General features: G+C 37.8%; 1 long non-coding RNA gene across 4 annotated transcripts in view, besides 1 other annotated feature; it reads right to left on the bottom strand.

Moving 5' to 3' along the window:
* LOC105375864 (uncharacterized) overlaps positions 1-6,778 on the bottom strand; it is a 79,123-nt gene extending 72,345 nt beyond the window's left edge. Inside the window, exons 1-2 of one of the 4 annotated variants that reach the window (XR_007060920.1) lie at positions 4,184-6,778; positions 882-986 (exon numbers count right to left, since the gene is read on the bottom strand). This is a non-coding gene — a long non-coding RNA (uncharacterized LOC105375864). Of the gene's footprint in view, positions 1-881 lie in introns of all 4 variants that reach the window. The other 3 variants (XR_007060921.1, XR_001745923.1, XR_007060919.1) reach the window with 3 other exon arrangements.
* Positions 16,857-17,103: a silencer, noted in NCBI's record as "fragment chr8:61286725-61286971 (GRCh37/hg19 assembly coordinates)". NCBI's record gives its function as "represses an EF-1alpha promoter that drives an FKBP-Casp9 reporter gene in an ReSE screen in phorbol 12-myristate 13-acetate-treated (for megakaryocytic differentiation) K562 erythroleukemia cells {active_cell/tissue: K562(+PMA)}" and the evidence as "EXISTENCE:reporter gene assay evidence [ECO:0000049][PMID:32094911]".

Raw genomic sequence — 17,451 nt, forward strand, 5'->3', positions numbered from 1 at the left:
AGAGTACAGAGCTGAAAGTCATAAATTCCCTAGGAAATTTGTGATTCAAAATGGGATAATTAGCCAGGCACGGTGGCTCATGCCTGATATTCCAATATTTTGGGAGACCCAGGTAGGAGGATTGCTTGAGGCCAGGAGTTCAATACCAGCCTGGGCAATATTGCAAGACTTTGTCTCTAAAAAAATAAATAAATAAAATTTAAAAATCAGCTAGGTATGTGCCTGTAGTCCTAGCTGCTCAGGTGCACACTCAAGGTTACAGTGAGTTATGATTATGTCACTGCAGTCCAGCCTGGGTGACACAGTGAAACCCTGTCTCAAAAAAAAGAAAAAAGGGATAATTAAAACTAAAAATCAATTTTTTGAAATTATAAAGAATATTTACAGAAGGTGAGTCATTCATTTTTAGTTTTTACTATTTAATCCTGACTTTGTTTTCCTCCCCAAAATTAAAAGCTATAGAGAATATTCTGAAAAACCCTTTTTATTGTTTTTTAAACTTATATTTTAAAGTAATTTCAAACTTACAGAAAACTTACAAGAATAGTACAACAATGCCTGTATATTTTTCACTTGGTTCCCCCAACTATAAACAATTTACCACACTGGTTTTCTAATTCTCTCTCTGTCTCTCTCTCTCTTCTGTCTCTCTTTCTCTCTCTCTCTCATAAATATAATTTTATTCTGAGCCAGTTGAGAAGGAATTGCAAATATGATATCCTAATTATTCTAGTGGGTATTCAAGGACTTTATTCTATATAATTAGAATATCACCATATCTATCATGAAATCAATACATTACTATAATCTAATCTACAGACCTAATTCACATTTTGTCATATTTCTCAATAATTCTCTTTATAGGAAAAAGAAAATTTTACCAGTACAGGATGAAATCTCAAATCAGGTGGACTACATTTCGTTGTCAACTCTTGTGTCTTCTGCAATTTCAAATGGCTCCTCAGTTTTTCGTTGCCTTTCTTGAACTTGAATTTTTGACAAATACAAGCCAGTTATTTTGCAGAATATTATTTAATTTTCATTAATATGATGAAATAACTTTTAAAATAAATTAACAATGGAAAGGAACTTCAAGATTTTATAAATTAATCAGCACTCTCTATATATCCTATATCTCACCTCTATGCAGCAGCTTACACAAGAAAGAACACCCCAACCTTGAGAGAAAGAATGGGGCAGAGAGAGAGAAGAGTGAAAAGAAAAAAAGGGAGTTGTGAGAAAATTAAAGCAATCAGAGCATTTTCAGGACAAGAGAAATAGCTTTTCTACAGCCACAGACTTTTATTTAATTCATTAAAATCTCATAAATTTTAAATCGTAAATACAATTCAGTGGAAGTAACCAGTAGCTATGTATAAATAGGCCACTGTAGTCAAAGCTCAGTGTATCTAGGTATCTATAGTTCTTTCCAGACTTGAATTTCTAGCTTCATCTTTACATTTTACATAACCTAGAGTGTTTGCAAAACCAAACTATGTTTAATATTCCATTTTCCCTGAAGAACAATTTTCACCTTATTAGAACTCATGTCTTCTCCTTCTTCATTGTCTGATTTCCAACTGGTAGTCCCAGCAGTTTAACTGTGGGCAACTCAGCCGTTTCGTTACTGTAGTGATCGTTCCAGGATCTTTTATTTTCTTACTTCTCAATAAATGTAATTCAGCCAACAAGTAAACTTCTCTTGCATGCAATCATTGGGTACTGATAATTATAAATATTATTTTCTGAAGGAAATTATATTACATATTTGTAGCATCAGGCTACAAATTTTTCAAAACTATACACAAAATATAGAAATGCATTTGCAGCAGTGACATCAAGGTTCACATGCTGTTATTTCTAAAAATTGTACAATGATTTGATCAATGTGGCAGTGCTTCATTTGACTCCCATTTTTTCATGAATCCTATAGTTGGTAATATATTACTCACTGGTTTTGTTTTACGAAGATTTTGTAAAAACTTTAAAGTATTAGCTCTGAATTAGATGGAAACCTCGTAAGTCAGAATTCTATTTTAATTAACCTAAAAGGATATATAGGTTAATTCTTTTGAATTTCTCTTGTAAAGCATGTGTATTCTTTTTTCTATACTCATTTATCATGCAGCTCATATAAGAAAGAGATGAAATAATATAGCAGGCAAGAGCTTTAAAAGTGATTTTATCCAAGACCTTCATTTGAAAGGCTCAGAGAAACTGTGTGTCCAGGCTTGCTGACACCAGGTCTACGATCCTTGCTGCTGTACTACACACAAACGGACTTGCAAATCTTCTTAAGATGATATGTTTCATGCACGAAAAAAGCATCGGCACAGACTGTGTCCTGTATATCCTTGACAGAACACAGGAACATCCTCTACTTGAGAAGGTTAACCTGCTCCCGATGAGTGCATTTGCGGAGGGCTGAGAAGACAGCCAATCAACTGTGGCCATCACAGCCAGATCACTGTCTTACAGAGCCAGAATGTGAGTAAGCCCTGGTCCTGCTAGCCTTCTCTAGCCTCACTCCTACATAACATCTAACAAATATTTTATGAATATCCATGTGATGGGAAAGCAAAGTATTAGCCTGCCCAGAGGGCCTACGAGTCTCCATCCAGTTCTGCAATACTTGAGACCACTTCCTGTGCCAGGATGCAAAAATTGAGTTGGGATGCAATTTTATCCAGCCATTGAAGAAATTTCAATAAGACCTTATTCAAGAGACTTTGGCCACATAAAAAAATGCAATAGATATTTAAAAATTCATCCAAGGACTTAAAAGGAAAGGAAAACCAATAAAAGGACAGAATCAGAATACAAATATAAGGTAGAGAAACCAGATGAGAGGTGGAAAACTTAATCAAGTAAGTTGTAGTTTTGTTTGTGTGATTGCAATTCATTAAACCAATTTTTTTTACCAACTGATGAGGCTTGCCTTTGCTGAACTGATGTGATCAGACTGTGTCCTTTTGTGTCATACAGGCAAGATATACAAGGAAAAGCAAATTCATTATTTAAACATAAGAAACATGTTTCAGCAAATTCGTGTGTAGTTAACATTTACTGAGTACTTCATATTACTGAACACCCTGCCTGGCTCTTTCATGTATGATCTTTATTTAACCCTCATGACCATTTACAGAAATATGATTTGTATTTCATGTGCAAATTGGGCACTAATTGCTACAAAAGTGTTACAAGTTAGGGTTGGAAGAAGGCATGAAAGATACGGTAGACATTTATACATGGAACAGTATGCGCCTTTGTATTGATTATCTATTTATTGCTGCATAATTAAGTAACTTAAAACTTAGTAACTTAAAACAATGATCATTTATTATCTCTGATAGTGTTTGTGGGTCAGAAGTTCAGACAGGGCATGTGGGAATGCCTTATGTCTTCTGCACAATGGGGCCTCAACTGGAAGACTCGAAGGGTGAGGCTGGCATCATCTGAGGCTCATTTACACATCTGGTGGTGAGGCTGGCTATTGGCTGCAGATCTAGCAGAGGCATGGACTTCCTTACAAAATAGCAGCTGAGTTCCAAGGGTAAGCTTCATGGGAGACAGAGATAGAGAGAAAACAAAACAAAACAAAACAAAACAAAAAAAAACCTCTCCTTTTTGTGATCTAGCCTCTTAGCCTCAGAAGCCACATGGGATTCCTTCCACCATACCCTGTTGCGGCAGTCAAGAGATGCACAAGACTATACCCCAATTAAAGAGTAGAGAACATCACTCCCGTCACTCCCAGCTCCTGGTGGGGGAGTGTCTGTCAGACTGCAAGAAGAGCATGTGGGATGGGATAAATATATACATGTGGCCACCCATGGGATATACAATTATTCCCACATTCTTACTCTCTGGTAAAAATCTTAGGGTGAGCCCTGGATTTAGTCAACACCAGGAAATATGTCTCATGTCAGGCAGCCAGAGAAGGGAAGTGTAAAGGATTGTTCTTGATTGGGGGATCCAAGTAGTCTTCACAGAAGAGACAGTATTTGAGCTTTATCCTGATTTGGAGGATTTCCATTCATTTATTTATGGAGTGCCTGATGGGGTATATTGTTGATAACATGCTAAGTGGAGAACATATAGGAAATTCTACTTCCCAAGGCACAGGCTGAGGACAATCTCACAGAGAGGGCTGCAGGGCTGACCCCTGTGGTGAGCTACTCACCAGCACCTTTGGTTCTTTCCTTCCATGGGAACACACCCGTGCCAGCCTTGCTAGAAGCCAGCAGTTTCCCAGAGATCCTGACCCACACTTCCTGGCTTCCCTTTATTCTCCACCACAGAGGACAGAAGTACCTTGGGAGACATATCAATAAGCAATTTGGGGACCAAGTTAGAAACTATTTTGTATCACTAAGGGAAAAAAATCCTATAAAACATAGTAGATAGACAAAAACAGTCTATTTGTAGATTATTGAGTTCGCATTTTTAAAACCTTCAAAAAAGATAAATTTATTGGAATGTGAATTCAGTATTTAAAATCTATAAAAGCAAATATTTTTCTAATTTCCATTTCCTTTTATTTCACTCTTTCCTATTATTTATCTCTCTCTCCCCATGGGGTTCCACATAGAACACAGATCAAAAGCTTTTACTCATTGATGGAGAAATATGCAGAAAAATCAAATAACACTTGTAATTAATAATTGGACAAAATAAACTAGAAATGTCAAAGCCATCATTATGATTTTCTAAATCCCATCACTTATTCTGTCCCTGAACAATTGAAACTTTTAGCAATGGTAGGGCACTGGTTTTTTTTAAATAGCTCCAAGCCTTATATTTTATTACAGAACAACTTCCTAAAGTAGGATATGTCCCAGATTTACACATCAATGTTTCAGGAAAGAAATATTTACTATTTAAAACTCATATGCATATAAAATAGCTGACTTAGAGAACTCAGTGTAAATCCATGTCTCTTCTCTGATAAGGAAAAATTGACCATGATTCAACTATGATTTCTTTTCTCATATATATGATTAGCTCATAACTTCAGACTTACTTTGAAAATAATTGGATACCTTTACAGTTAATAACTTTGTAAATTTTAGTTCTACTAGAGGATCAAGGCCTTGTTATTTAAGAACAAAGTGATTCCAAGAGGTTAAGAATTTCACTGGGTGCAGACATATATTTTTCGAGGTTGGAGAATATTTTTTAAAACAGAAGTGGAATGAAATCCAAAACTCTCATTTCTCTGTTCTGAAGATGGTTAGATCTGGCTCAGAGATAAAGCTTAAATATAGTGAAATTTAGATCAACTAGCTCGTTAGGCTTAAGCTGATTCAGAGACCTGTCCAGTACGATAAAGCTCCCGGATAGTCTATTATCACCCTTCTGCTTCATAAGTGGTATTCTTCAGTTCACATCAAGACTAAAAGTACAGAATGATTTGTAGGTGTGGCCTATGAAGTCCATGTAAGTCACATATTTATTGATATAGTGATCCCTAGGCTAAAACTACACTATCAAAAGGATATACTGATCTGCAATAAAACTAGTGGATAAGAATCCAAAAATATGAGAAGAAGGAATGAACCACCAGTATTGACAGGATTCACTTGGTATTCATGTGGGAGCAAATGGAAAGAGGAAAATGGGGAATCTGAGTGCCCTGAGAACAAGAGCATCTAAAATCACTCTTAGTAACTGCCTAAGAGGTTAAGAACATTCCTAGATGGGATCAGCAAACTGATGCACAGGTAAAGGCAAGGACATGAGGGAAGGTCATCACATGCAGAAATAATGTTGGTTCTAGGAATTCTCAAACCTTGCAATCCTGAGCTCACTTCTAGAGCAAACTCCTCTATCTGCTCACACTGCCATTGTAAAATACCATATGCTGGGTGGTTTAAATGACAGAAATTGATTTCTCACAGGTCTTGAGGCTGGGAAGTTCAAGATCAAAGTTTCAGCCAACTCAGTTTCTGGTGAGGTCCTCTTCTTGACATGCAGATGGCTGTCTTCTCACTATGTGCAGACATGGCAAAGAGAGAAAAAAAGCACACTCTGATGTCACTTTCTCTTTTATAAGGATAACACTTTTACCAGTTCAGGGCTTATGGATGGTTAACTTTATGTGTCAACTTGAATGGGGCATCAGAATGTCCAGACAACTGGTAAAACATTACTTCTGGGTATGTCTGTGAGGATGTTTCCAAAAGAGATTACATTTAAATCATTAGACTGAGTAAAGAAGATTTGCCCTCACCAGTGTGGGTGGGCATCATCCAATCTGTTGAGGGCTTGAATAGAACAAAAAGGCAAAGAAGGTTGAATTCACTTTCTGCCTGATTGCTTGAGCCGAGGCATCAGTCTTTTGCCCTTCGTGCACTTGGTTCTCAGACTTTAGTCCCAAATTGGAAGCTACACCACCAACTCTCTAACTCTCAGACCTTCAAACTACACCACCAGCTTTACTATGTCTCCAGCTTGCAAACAGTAGATCACAGGACTTTTTGGCCTCCATAATCATATGAGCCTAAGGAGTTGGGAATATTCCCAGATGGGATTCTGCAAAATAACTTATTTTTTATATATAAAATAAGTTTGGGTCTATTTCTCTAAAGAACCCTAAATACAGGGCTCCATTCTTATGATCTTGTTTAATCTTAATCACATCCTTAAAAGCTCTGTCTCCAATACGGTCACATGGGGGTTAGGGCTTCAGCATATGAATTTTGAGGAAGGGGATATATTTCAGTCTATAGCACTCTCACTGAGAATAAATTGAATTTCACTGAGGAGAAATTAATAAACTGAGCAGGACAGGGACATGTGGATCAAAGAAAAAGGGAATCCAAATAAACATGGGGGGGAGAGCAGAGCTACAGATACCTTTTATTTTGGTTTTCTGTAAATCACATGATCTGAATTACAGAAAGAAAAAAGAATAAGTAAAAATGAATGGAGCCTCAGAGAAATATTAGACATCTTTAGTTACACCAACATAAGTATAATAGAAATATCAAAAAGAGAGGAGAAAGAAAAAGAAACAGAAAAAATATTCAAAGTAATAATGGCTGAAAACGTTCCAATTTTGCTGAAAATCTGTAATCTACACATTCAACTAGCTCAACAAACTCCAAGCAGGACAAACACGAAGAAGTCCACACCCAGACATATCATAGTCAATATGCTAAAAGATAAAATTAAGCAGAAAATTTTGAAAGGCACAAGAGAAAACTGATACACAAGCAGCCTCCAATAAGATAGACAGCTAAATTCTCAGAAACAACGTAGGCCAGAAAGCAGTGAGATGTCCTATTCAAAGTGGAAGGGGAAAATTATATCAACCAAGAATCTTATGTTCAGCAAAAACATCTTTTCAAACTGCAGTCAAAATAAAGCTATCTCCAGGCAAATAAAATCTGAGATAATTTGTTGCTAGAAGACTCATCTTACAGAGAATAGTAAAGCAAGATTTTTAGGCTGAAATCATGTGACCCCCCCAGATAGTAATTTGAAACAACACACACACACACACACACACACACACACACACACACACACAAAACCAGGAAAAGTAATTAAATAACTATAAAAGGCAATCTAAATGTTTACTTTTTCTTTCTTCTCTTAACTGATTTTAAAACCAATTATATAAAAGAATGGGTACATGATTACTTTGTTGTGTCTATAGCATATACAAATGTAATATATTTGACATCCATGGCACCAAGGAAATGGGTGGGAGCAGAGTTGTATTGGAGTAGCAAAATAACAGCTGATAGTAACTGGAACACACGGGAACAAATTCAGTGAACCAGAAACTGTAAATTAGAAGAATTAGAAGAAGTATAACAAACTATAAATAAATACCTCCTCTCCTTTCTTTTATTGGATTCTTCAATAGACATAAAATTATATAAAGTAATAACTATGACAATATATTATTGGTTTATAAAATTAAAAGATGTAATATATATAATAATATTAGCACAGGAAACAAGAAGAGAGAATAAAGCTATATAGAATTAGCATCTCTATATGTCACTGAAATTACATCTAATTTAGTTTCTGATAAATTAAGGTGTACAAGGTAATCCCTAGAGCAACTACTAAGGAATTAACTTTAAAAAGTGAAAGTGTTATTAAAAGAATTAAAATGTGAGAAAAGAACATACTTTATTAATGCAAAAGAATCCAGTAAAGGAGGAATAGAACAAAAGAAAGATATGTGACATAAAGAAAAAAATAGTAGACTAAATTCAGCAGTATCAATAATAATATTAATTGTGAACGGGTAAAATGATCTATTCAAAAGGCAGAGATTGTAAGACTGGATTTAACAAACAAAATCCAACTGTATGCTCTCTATACGATAATATTCCTACAAACTTTAGGTACAAAGATACAAATAGGTTGAAAGCATACGGATGGGCAAAGATACATGATGCAAACAATAGCCACTAGAGAGCGGAGTGGCTATATTAATATCGAAGTACCCTTTAAAACAAAAAAAGTTACTAAAGATAAAGGGGGACTTTTTTAATGATAAAATGGTAAATCTCATCAGGAAGGTATAAGAATTATAAATACATCTAACAACAGCACCCCAAAACACATAAAGGAAAGGCTGACAGAATTAAAGGGAAGAATAGAGTTCCACAATAATAGTTGAACACTCCAATGTTCCACTTCCAATAATGAATGGAACAACTAGGCAGATAAGAAAGAAAATAGAGGATTTGGGAGGAAACGGGAGATGTTAGTCAAAGGATACATAATTATGGTTAGAAGGAATACATTTCTCTTTTTTAATTTTAATTTTAATTTTTAGTTCTGGGGTACATGTGCAGGATGTGCAGGTTTGTTAATAGGTAAAAGTGTGCCATCGTGATTTGTTGCACCTATCAACCCATCACCTGGGTACTAAGCCCAGCATGCATTAAATATTTTTCTTAATACTCTCCCTCCCTCCCACACCTACCCCCACTGACAGGCCCCAGTGTGTGTTGTTCCCCTCCCTGTATACATGTGATTTCATTGTTCAGCTCCAACTTATAAGTGAGAACATGCATTGTTTGGTTTTATGCTCCTGTGTTAGTTTGCTGAGGATAATGGCTTCCGGCTTCATCGATGTCCCTGCAAAGGACATGATCTCTTTCCTTTTCATGGCTGCATAATAGAAGGAACACATTTCAAGAGACCTCTTGTATAGCAAGGTAATGTGAGGTAACGCACCTGGTAATTATCTACATTTAACCATTCCACAATGTATATGTACTTCATAACATCATACTATACCCATAAAAACAAAATGCTGTCAATTTAAAATAAAGAAAATGTATAAAGGAAAAGATAGAGGACTACACAAACTGTACATAGCAGGAAACTTCCCCAACAATAGCAGAACACATTCTTCTCAGTGCACATGGAGCATTCCTTAGAATAGGCCATATATTAGGCCATAAAATAAGCCTCCACAAGTTTTAAAAGACTGAAATCAATTAATGTATTTTCTCTCTCAGAATGGAATGAAATAAAAAATTAATAACAGAAAAAAATTGTAATATCATAAATATGTGGAAAGTAAACAACATGCTACTAAATAGCCAATGAGCCAGAGAATAAATCACACGGGAAACTAGAAAGTACCTTGAAATAAGTAAAAATGAAGACACACATACCAAAATTTATGGGATACAGCTAAAGTAAATCTCATAGGAAATTTATAGCTGGGAATGCCTACATTAAAAAAAGATTATAAATCAACAACCTAATCTTATGCTTCCATGTTAAGATGCTGGAAAAAGGAAGAACAAACTAAATACAAGCAATCAGGAGAAAGAAAATAGCAAAAACAAGAGTGGAAATTAATTAAGTAGAGAGTAGAAAAACAGTAAAGAAAAGCAGCAAAATCAAATATTAGTTGGTTGAAAAGATCAAAATTGACAAACCCTTTTAGCCAAACTAAACAAGGAAAAAGGAAAAGACTTAAGTTACTAAAAGTGTAAATAAAAGAGGGGACATTACTACCAACATTTCAGAAATAAAAGTAATTATAAGAGGATACTATGAACAATTTTATGCCAACAAATTAGGTAGCTTAGGGCCGGGTGTGGTGGCTCACGCCTGTAATCCAGCACTTTGGGAGGCTGAGGCGGGTGGATCACTTGAGATCAGGAGTTTGAGACCAGACTGGCCAACATGGTGAAACTCCATCTCTACTAAAAATACAAAAATTAGCCAAGCGTAGTGGTGAATGCCTGTAATCCCAGCTACTTGGGAGGCTGAGACAGAAGAATCGCTTGAACCTGGGAGGCAGAGGTTGCAGTGAGCCAAGGCTGTGCCACTGCACTCCAGCCTGGGCGACAGAGTGAGGCTCCATCTCAGAAAAAAAAAAAAAATAGGTAACTTAGATGAAGTGGGCACATGCCAAGAAAGACACAAACTACCCAAACTAACTCAAAAGAAATGGAAAATTTGAACAAATCTATAACAAATAAATAGATGGAATTAGTAATAAAAAAAACTTGCAATAAAAAGCCCAAGACCAGTTAGCTTCACCGGTATATTCTACCAAACACTTAAAGAAAAATTAATATCAATTCTTCACAAACTCTTTCAAAATAGAAGAGAATGTAACAACGGAACACTTCCCAACTCATTTTGCATAGCGTATATCTGATAAAGAACTTGTTAGAATACATAAAGAACCCTTATAACTTTTTTTTCTTTTTTCTTTTTTTGAGAAGGAGTCTCACTCTTGTCTCCCAGACTCAAGTGCAGTGGTAGAATCGGAGCTCACTACAACCTCCACATCCCAGGTTCCCAGGTTCAAGCAATTCTCATGCCTCAGCCTCCCCAGTAGCTGAGATTACAGGCGTGTGCCACCATGCCTGGCTAATTTTTTTAGTAGAGACAGGGTTTCACCATGTTGGCCAAGCTGGTCTCCAACTCCTGAACTCAGGTGATCCTCCTGCCTTGGCCTCCCAAAGTGCTGGGATTACAGGCATGAGCCAACGGGCCTGTCCCCTTATAACTCAATAATAAAGAGACAACCTAATTTTAAAATGAGCAAAGAATAGGAATGGAGGCCGAGCATGGCAGCTCACGTCTGTAATCCCAGCACTTTAGGAGGCCAAGGTGGGTGGATCACATGAGCCCAGGAGTTCAGGATCAGCCTGGGCAACATAATGAGACCCTATCTTTAAAAAAAAAAAAAAGAAAGAAAGAAAGCAAAGGAAAAGAAAAAGAATAGGAATAGGCATTTCTCCAAAGATACACAAATGGCCAACAAGCACATGGAAAGACGTTCAACATCACTAGCCATCAGGAAAGTGCAAATCAGAACCAAAATGAAACACCACCTTACCCCTTCTAGAATGGCTATAATCAGAAAGTTGGATAACAAGCGTTGGCAAAGATGTGGAGAAATTAGCACCCTCACACATCGCTGGTGAGAATGTAAAATGGTGCAGGCATTTTGGAAAAGTCTGGCAACTCCTCGAAACGATAAACACAGAATTACCATATGGTCCAGAAAATCCACTACCAGTATATTACTCAGAAGAAATGAAAATATATGTCCACATAAAAACCTGTACTCAAATATTCATAGCAGTATTACTTATAACAACCAAAAAGTGGGCACAACCCAAAATGTCCATCAACTGATGAGAAAATAAAGAAATGAAATATTATTTGACAATAAAAAGAAAGGAGGCACTAAGAGATGCTATTTTAAGCTCAGACACACCCGCCAGCACCAGGCTTTCTCCACAGAGTCCACGCTCACTCCTCAAGGTTCCTCTTACACTCCTCAATATTCATAAGTCTAACCCATTCCTTTTCTTGTTTCCAACTTTGTTTGCTTCTGAGGTTGCTACTGTGTGATAACTTCACGTTCTCTGTTTACCTCTCCACACATCCGTTAACAACTCTGTGCCCATTAACAATCCTTTATATTAAGTGACCTGTGTTCAGTGTGGTGTGGTTTCTGCCACTTGACTGGACTTAACCACCCACCCCCCACGAAGAGGTCTTCTTGCCAAAAAATATCAAGCTAAAATCTGGTAGAAGTACACTCAATACTACCTATTAAAACCTTGCCAAACTATAGAATCTGAATCTAAGCAAACTTCTAGATACCAGTTTATAGATACCAATTTATAAGAAATCCAGGGCTCAGGGAAACATATAACTCATACCACAGAAATGTAGTCAGCAAAACCCAGACTATGAAAAATTTACAGAAGTGACCTGGTTTCTTCAGTGAAAAAACAACAAACTTCCAGAGGAAAAAACAAATCTTTACGGGACAACCCAGGAAATGTGAATACTCCTGGATAATAGATGTTATTAAAGCATTACTACGGGTTTTCTTGGCTGGGTGCAGTGGTTCACGCCTGTAATCCCAGCACTTTGGGAGGCCGAGGTGGGTGGATAACCTAAGGTCAGGAGTTCAAGACCAGCCTGGCCAACATGGTGAAATGCCATCTTTATTAAAAATACAATAACTAGCCAGGCATGATGGCGGGCACCTGTAATCCCAGCTACTCAGAAGGCTGAGATGGGAAAATTGCTTGAACCCAGGAGGCTGAGATTGCAGTGAGCCAAGATCACGCTACTGCACTCCAGCCTGGGCAGGCAACAGAACAAGACTCCGTCTCAAAAAAAAAAAAAAAGAAAAAAAAGAAGAACTACTATGGGTTTCTTTAAAAGATATGGTCACAAAGTATAAAGTTTGAATCAGGGGAGTAGCCTTGGGATAGACAAAATAATGGCCCCTGTTTTGGGGGAAAAAAAAAAATCTCAAACCATCGTTCCTATTCTCTCACTTAAAACAACAACAATCATCAACACAGAAGATTTCTGTAACCAAATGTGGAGGGATGGGTTTCTCCCTACCAGCAAGCAAGCAACTGACTCTGCAGTAGACTGCAGCTCAATTCCCACACTACTTGGAGATACTGTGAGATCCCGATCAAGGGCTTAGTCTCACAAGACTCCCCCACCCCAGATACCAGTCATTATTCTGGGACTCTGACACTTCTGACCAGTTTCAAGTTGGAGTTCCCATGTCCCGCTCTTTGGGTTCGATTAATTTGCTGGAGTGACTCACAGAACTCAAAGAAACAGTTACGTTTACCAGTTTGTTACATAGGATATCGCAAAGGATACAGATGAACAGATACATAAGGCAAGGTATGCGAGAAGGAGCACGAAGCTTCCATGCCCTCCCTGGGCACGCCACCTTCCAGGAAGCTCCATGTGTTCAGCTATCCTGAAGCTCTCCCAACCCTGTCCCCTCGGGTTTTTATGGAGACTTCATTTCGTAGGCATGATTGATTAAACCATTGGCCATTGGTGATCAACTTGATCTTCAGCCTCTCTCCTCTCCCTAGAGTTTAGGAGGCAAAGCTGAAGGTCTCAACCTTTGAATCATGCTTTTCTCTTTCCAGTGACCAGTCCCACCCTGACACTGTCAGTCAACACATAAAAAGACAGCACTCTGGAGAGTCCAAGGATTTTAGGGGTTGTATGCAAGGAAAGGGGAAAGAAGACCAAATATATATTTCACAATATCACAGCCTCCAAAGCTGCCGATGACCTAATCTGCAGAACCTGTGAGCAGGTTCTGTTATATGACCAGGAAAATTAAGGTTGCAGATGGGATTAAAATTGCTCATCAGCTGATTTTGCGAAGGGGAGATTATTGTGAATTATCTAGGTAGGCACAGTGTCTTTATAAGTGGGTCTTTATAAGTGGATGAAGGAGGGAGGAGAGTCACAGAGAAAGAGAGGAAGTGGAGGTCACAGTGATGCCATTTCCAACTTTGAAGATGGAAGGGAGCTGCCAGCCAAGGAATGGGGCAGCCTCTGGAAGCTGGGAAGGCAAGGAAATGGATTCTCCACTAAAACCCACCCAAGGAAGGAAACCTTGCTCACACCTTGATGTTAACCCAGTGAGACTTATTGGACTTCTGACCTCAAAAGCTGTAACATAATAAATCTGAGTTGTTTGAAGCCACTAACTTTGTGGTAATTTGTTACAGCAGCAATAGAAAACTACTACAAACCCAAGGGGCAAAAGAAGGGATTGGGGGAGGGTGACAAAGAAAGATAAATTTTAGGGGCCAAAATACATTATTCCACAACCCTGCACAAATCTCCCTAAGCATTTTTCTCTCCTTTACATAACTTTGCTCACACATCTTCCTCCTATCTGACTAAGATATCTTTGAAGTCAGGAAGTGACACTCACCAGCATTTGCAGTCTTAAAGCCTTATTGGAGCACTCTGCATACCACATGATTGCAGGAGAGAGGAAGAGAATGAAAAAGATCCAGAATATAATATTTAATCAGATATTCCATAGACTCCATGGAATACATATTTCTAAGAACTAGTGCACACTACTTTATTGCATTATCTAAATGCAATAAACTCAAGTATACTATGCAGACACGCATAATCACACTAGAAAATAGATGGCGTGTGAGATGTTGAATCACGTTTAACCCTGACTGAATTTCTGTGTTCTAAATCTTGGTTTGGCAACTCCTGATACAGCAAAGTACTGAATGATAGAATTCAAAGGTAATACACATAATATCTTTAAGAAATCTCTTTACTTTAATGGGCCAGGTGGGATTCAGGAGACAACGTGTAAGTGATCTAATGTTATTAACATACCTTTATCTTCCAATAATGTCCCAATATGCTGAATAATGTATTTTAAGTAAATGCAGATATCTTTTTTTAAGTATAGAGCATGTTGAGATCCTGGTAATGACAGTTGAGTATTAGAGAATCACAGAAGTTAAAATTTGTTGCCAGATTTGGACACTTGGCTGCCACACAGACATCACAGATGACAGACAAATAATTCATCAACATAATTAAGTGAAATACGCTTCAACAAATTGAACTATCATTAAAAATATAACTTGTGAGATTTGATGACTGGGAAAAACTTACAACACAAATTCACTGGCAGGAGACCAGAGTAACCGTGTCATTTTATTTTACATTTTATTTTATTTTATCAAAGTTATGCTTGGTTCCAGATCTGTGAGACAATATTTTTAATATGGAAAACAGAACATCAACAAAACAAACAAGAAAATGACTTGCAGCCTTGAAGTATGCTCAGGGCAAGGTAGTGTGGGTGACCCCCCGATTAAAGAAGCTAAGTCAGAGCTAGAAATCGCTTCATGTTTAAGTATAATAATCAACAAGTCAGAATCACAGCCAATAATTAAACTTCTTAGGCAGATGTTTCATCACGACATTCATTTCTGCATATATACTTTCAGGTTGGAAGTAGAAATTCTTAGAGGTCTAACCAATATACAAAAACAATTCTGAAGACTTTAATTAAAGAAGCACCTTCATACAGTGTTCTCAGATTCAAAAAGTTTTAAAAGGGGCTTGGATTTGGAGGAATGTAGGAAGCAGACAGATGGATGGGGAGAAAGGAGGATGGTCAAAGAGGCAGAGCCCTTGGCTATGAGAATCAACTTCAACCAGAAAAGATCCACTTTTACTAATTTTACGAAGTAGGATTTCACATGAGTTATCTTTAAAGATATCTTCAAAGAAAGTGTTTACTTACTTTAAAAAGAGAGTCCAAAAATCACTGTCCTAAAGAATGGATATGTTTTGTTACAAAAGTAGAGGCAACAAGAAATTTGTAGTATAGTGATGTTAAGGAAGAAAACTAACTTCTGAGCTATTGTCTACATTTTTGTTCATTTAATTCCATTCTCTCTGAGCCATCCTGGTGCCTCCTGGTTATGAGAACACCCCCTTATCTTACACCATCCAACAAACAGAATCCTGTAATTCCTTTGGTAGATTTGGGTTTCTGGTTTACGTAACTATTGGCTATGGCAGAAACACCTAGGATGCTATCTCAGTGTGTTTACATGGTTCCTTTTGATTCTAGATTTAGATGGTGCCTTTTTGCTTCTTATGCTTGTCACTTATCGGGAACGCAGTTTTACAAGCTAAGGTCTTCTTGACTGTGGTATTATTCCATGTAGAAACGAGCTCAGCTCCTCCTAGTCACTAAGAGACCAAAGGCTGTAGTAACTCTGTCTCCCTAGCACCTCTCTGGATTTCTATGTGGTCCATGCCTCCTGTAAGCCTAATTTCAATCTAAAAACTGTGCCTCCTAATTCTGACCTGAATGTGTCCTGGAATATGTGTCAATATTTTCCCATCTCTCCATGGTCCTTCTCATTTCTGTCCGAGGTTCTATCTTCTGTTGACATGCCCAAGAGTCAGCTCAACCCATTGCATCACCTGTTTTCCTTTATGTTAACTGTATTTCTGAACTCAGCAGTCTTCACAAGTCCAGAAAAGACTGACTGTAGTCACACTGAAAATATGAGTTAACAGTAGTAATTTTTCTAAATATTTCATAGAAGACATGGAAGAACAGGACCAAATCCCATACCGTAAAATTTACTACTTAAGAAGAAATCACCATAAAATCAGTCTATCTCCAAAGTTCCACCCTCCCACTAGGCCACCTGGGAGCGTAATTTTTCTCCACTGATCCCCTATGCAGGGCCCAACTTCAGTAGTTCCTGTTTTCTTTTTCCTGGATTTATTCCCCAATCTCACATGCCTCTGAAAAGAATTTTCAGAAATTCTTGACAACTATAAAAGGCTTGTACAGTCTAACTGCGTAGTCAGCAGATGAACTTTTAGAGACAATGTTACCTAACTAATAATATCCCACTGATATCAAAAACATTGTCATGGTTTTTTCTTCAAATAACACTCATAGATTTTTGCTATTTAAATAACAATGACACATCAGAATTGTTTCACTGTAACAGAGGATTGAAAAAGCCCAAAATGTTATTGAATGACTGCATTCTTTACTGTCGTGCAGGCTGTCATTTGAATGGCAAACAGGTATCAGTGCTTTTTCAGGACAGCCTCCCCCAGTGTCCTGTAGAGTCATTCACTTAGCTTTGTTGGCATCCGGCTAAATAGTCTGGTGGCCCCTTATAGAGGAAGCCTGGCTTCCTGCAGCTCCCAGCCATGTTGACAACAACGCATGTTCAAACACAGAAGAGGAACTCCCCAGCCTTCCAACACTCTAGACTCTGCATCTTGGGAATGGTTAACTGGACAGGGCCACCATCACCAGAGATTTAAGGATCAAAAGAGTAAAAATAAAACCACAAGCATTGCTATGGTCTGAAGGTTTTTTGTCTCGCCCTGAAATTCATATTTTGAAATCCTAACTTCCCAAGGTGATAGTTATAGGTGGTGGGGCCTTTGGGGAGGTGATTAAGTCATGAGGGTGTCGCTTTCCTGGGATTAGTGCCCTTATAAAACAGGCCCAAGGATCACGGCTGACGGGAGGCAGGACTAGACTGCAGCTCTGGACAGAGCAGCATGCAGAGGCTTGCGTTGTAAATTTCAGCTCCAGATCGACTGCAAGAGCAAACCAGCAATCCC

This window comes from Homo sapiens, chromosome 8, assembly GCF_000001405.40.
Source record: "Homo sapiens chromosome 8, GRCh38.p14 Primary Assembly".
NCBI lineage: Eukaryota > Metazoa > Chordata > Mammalia > Primates > Hominidae > Homo > Homo sapiens.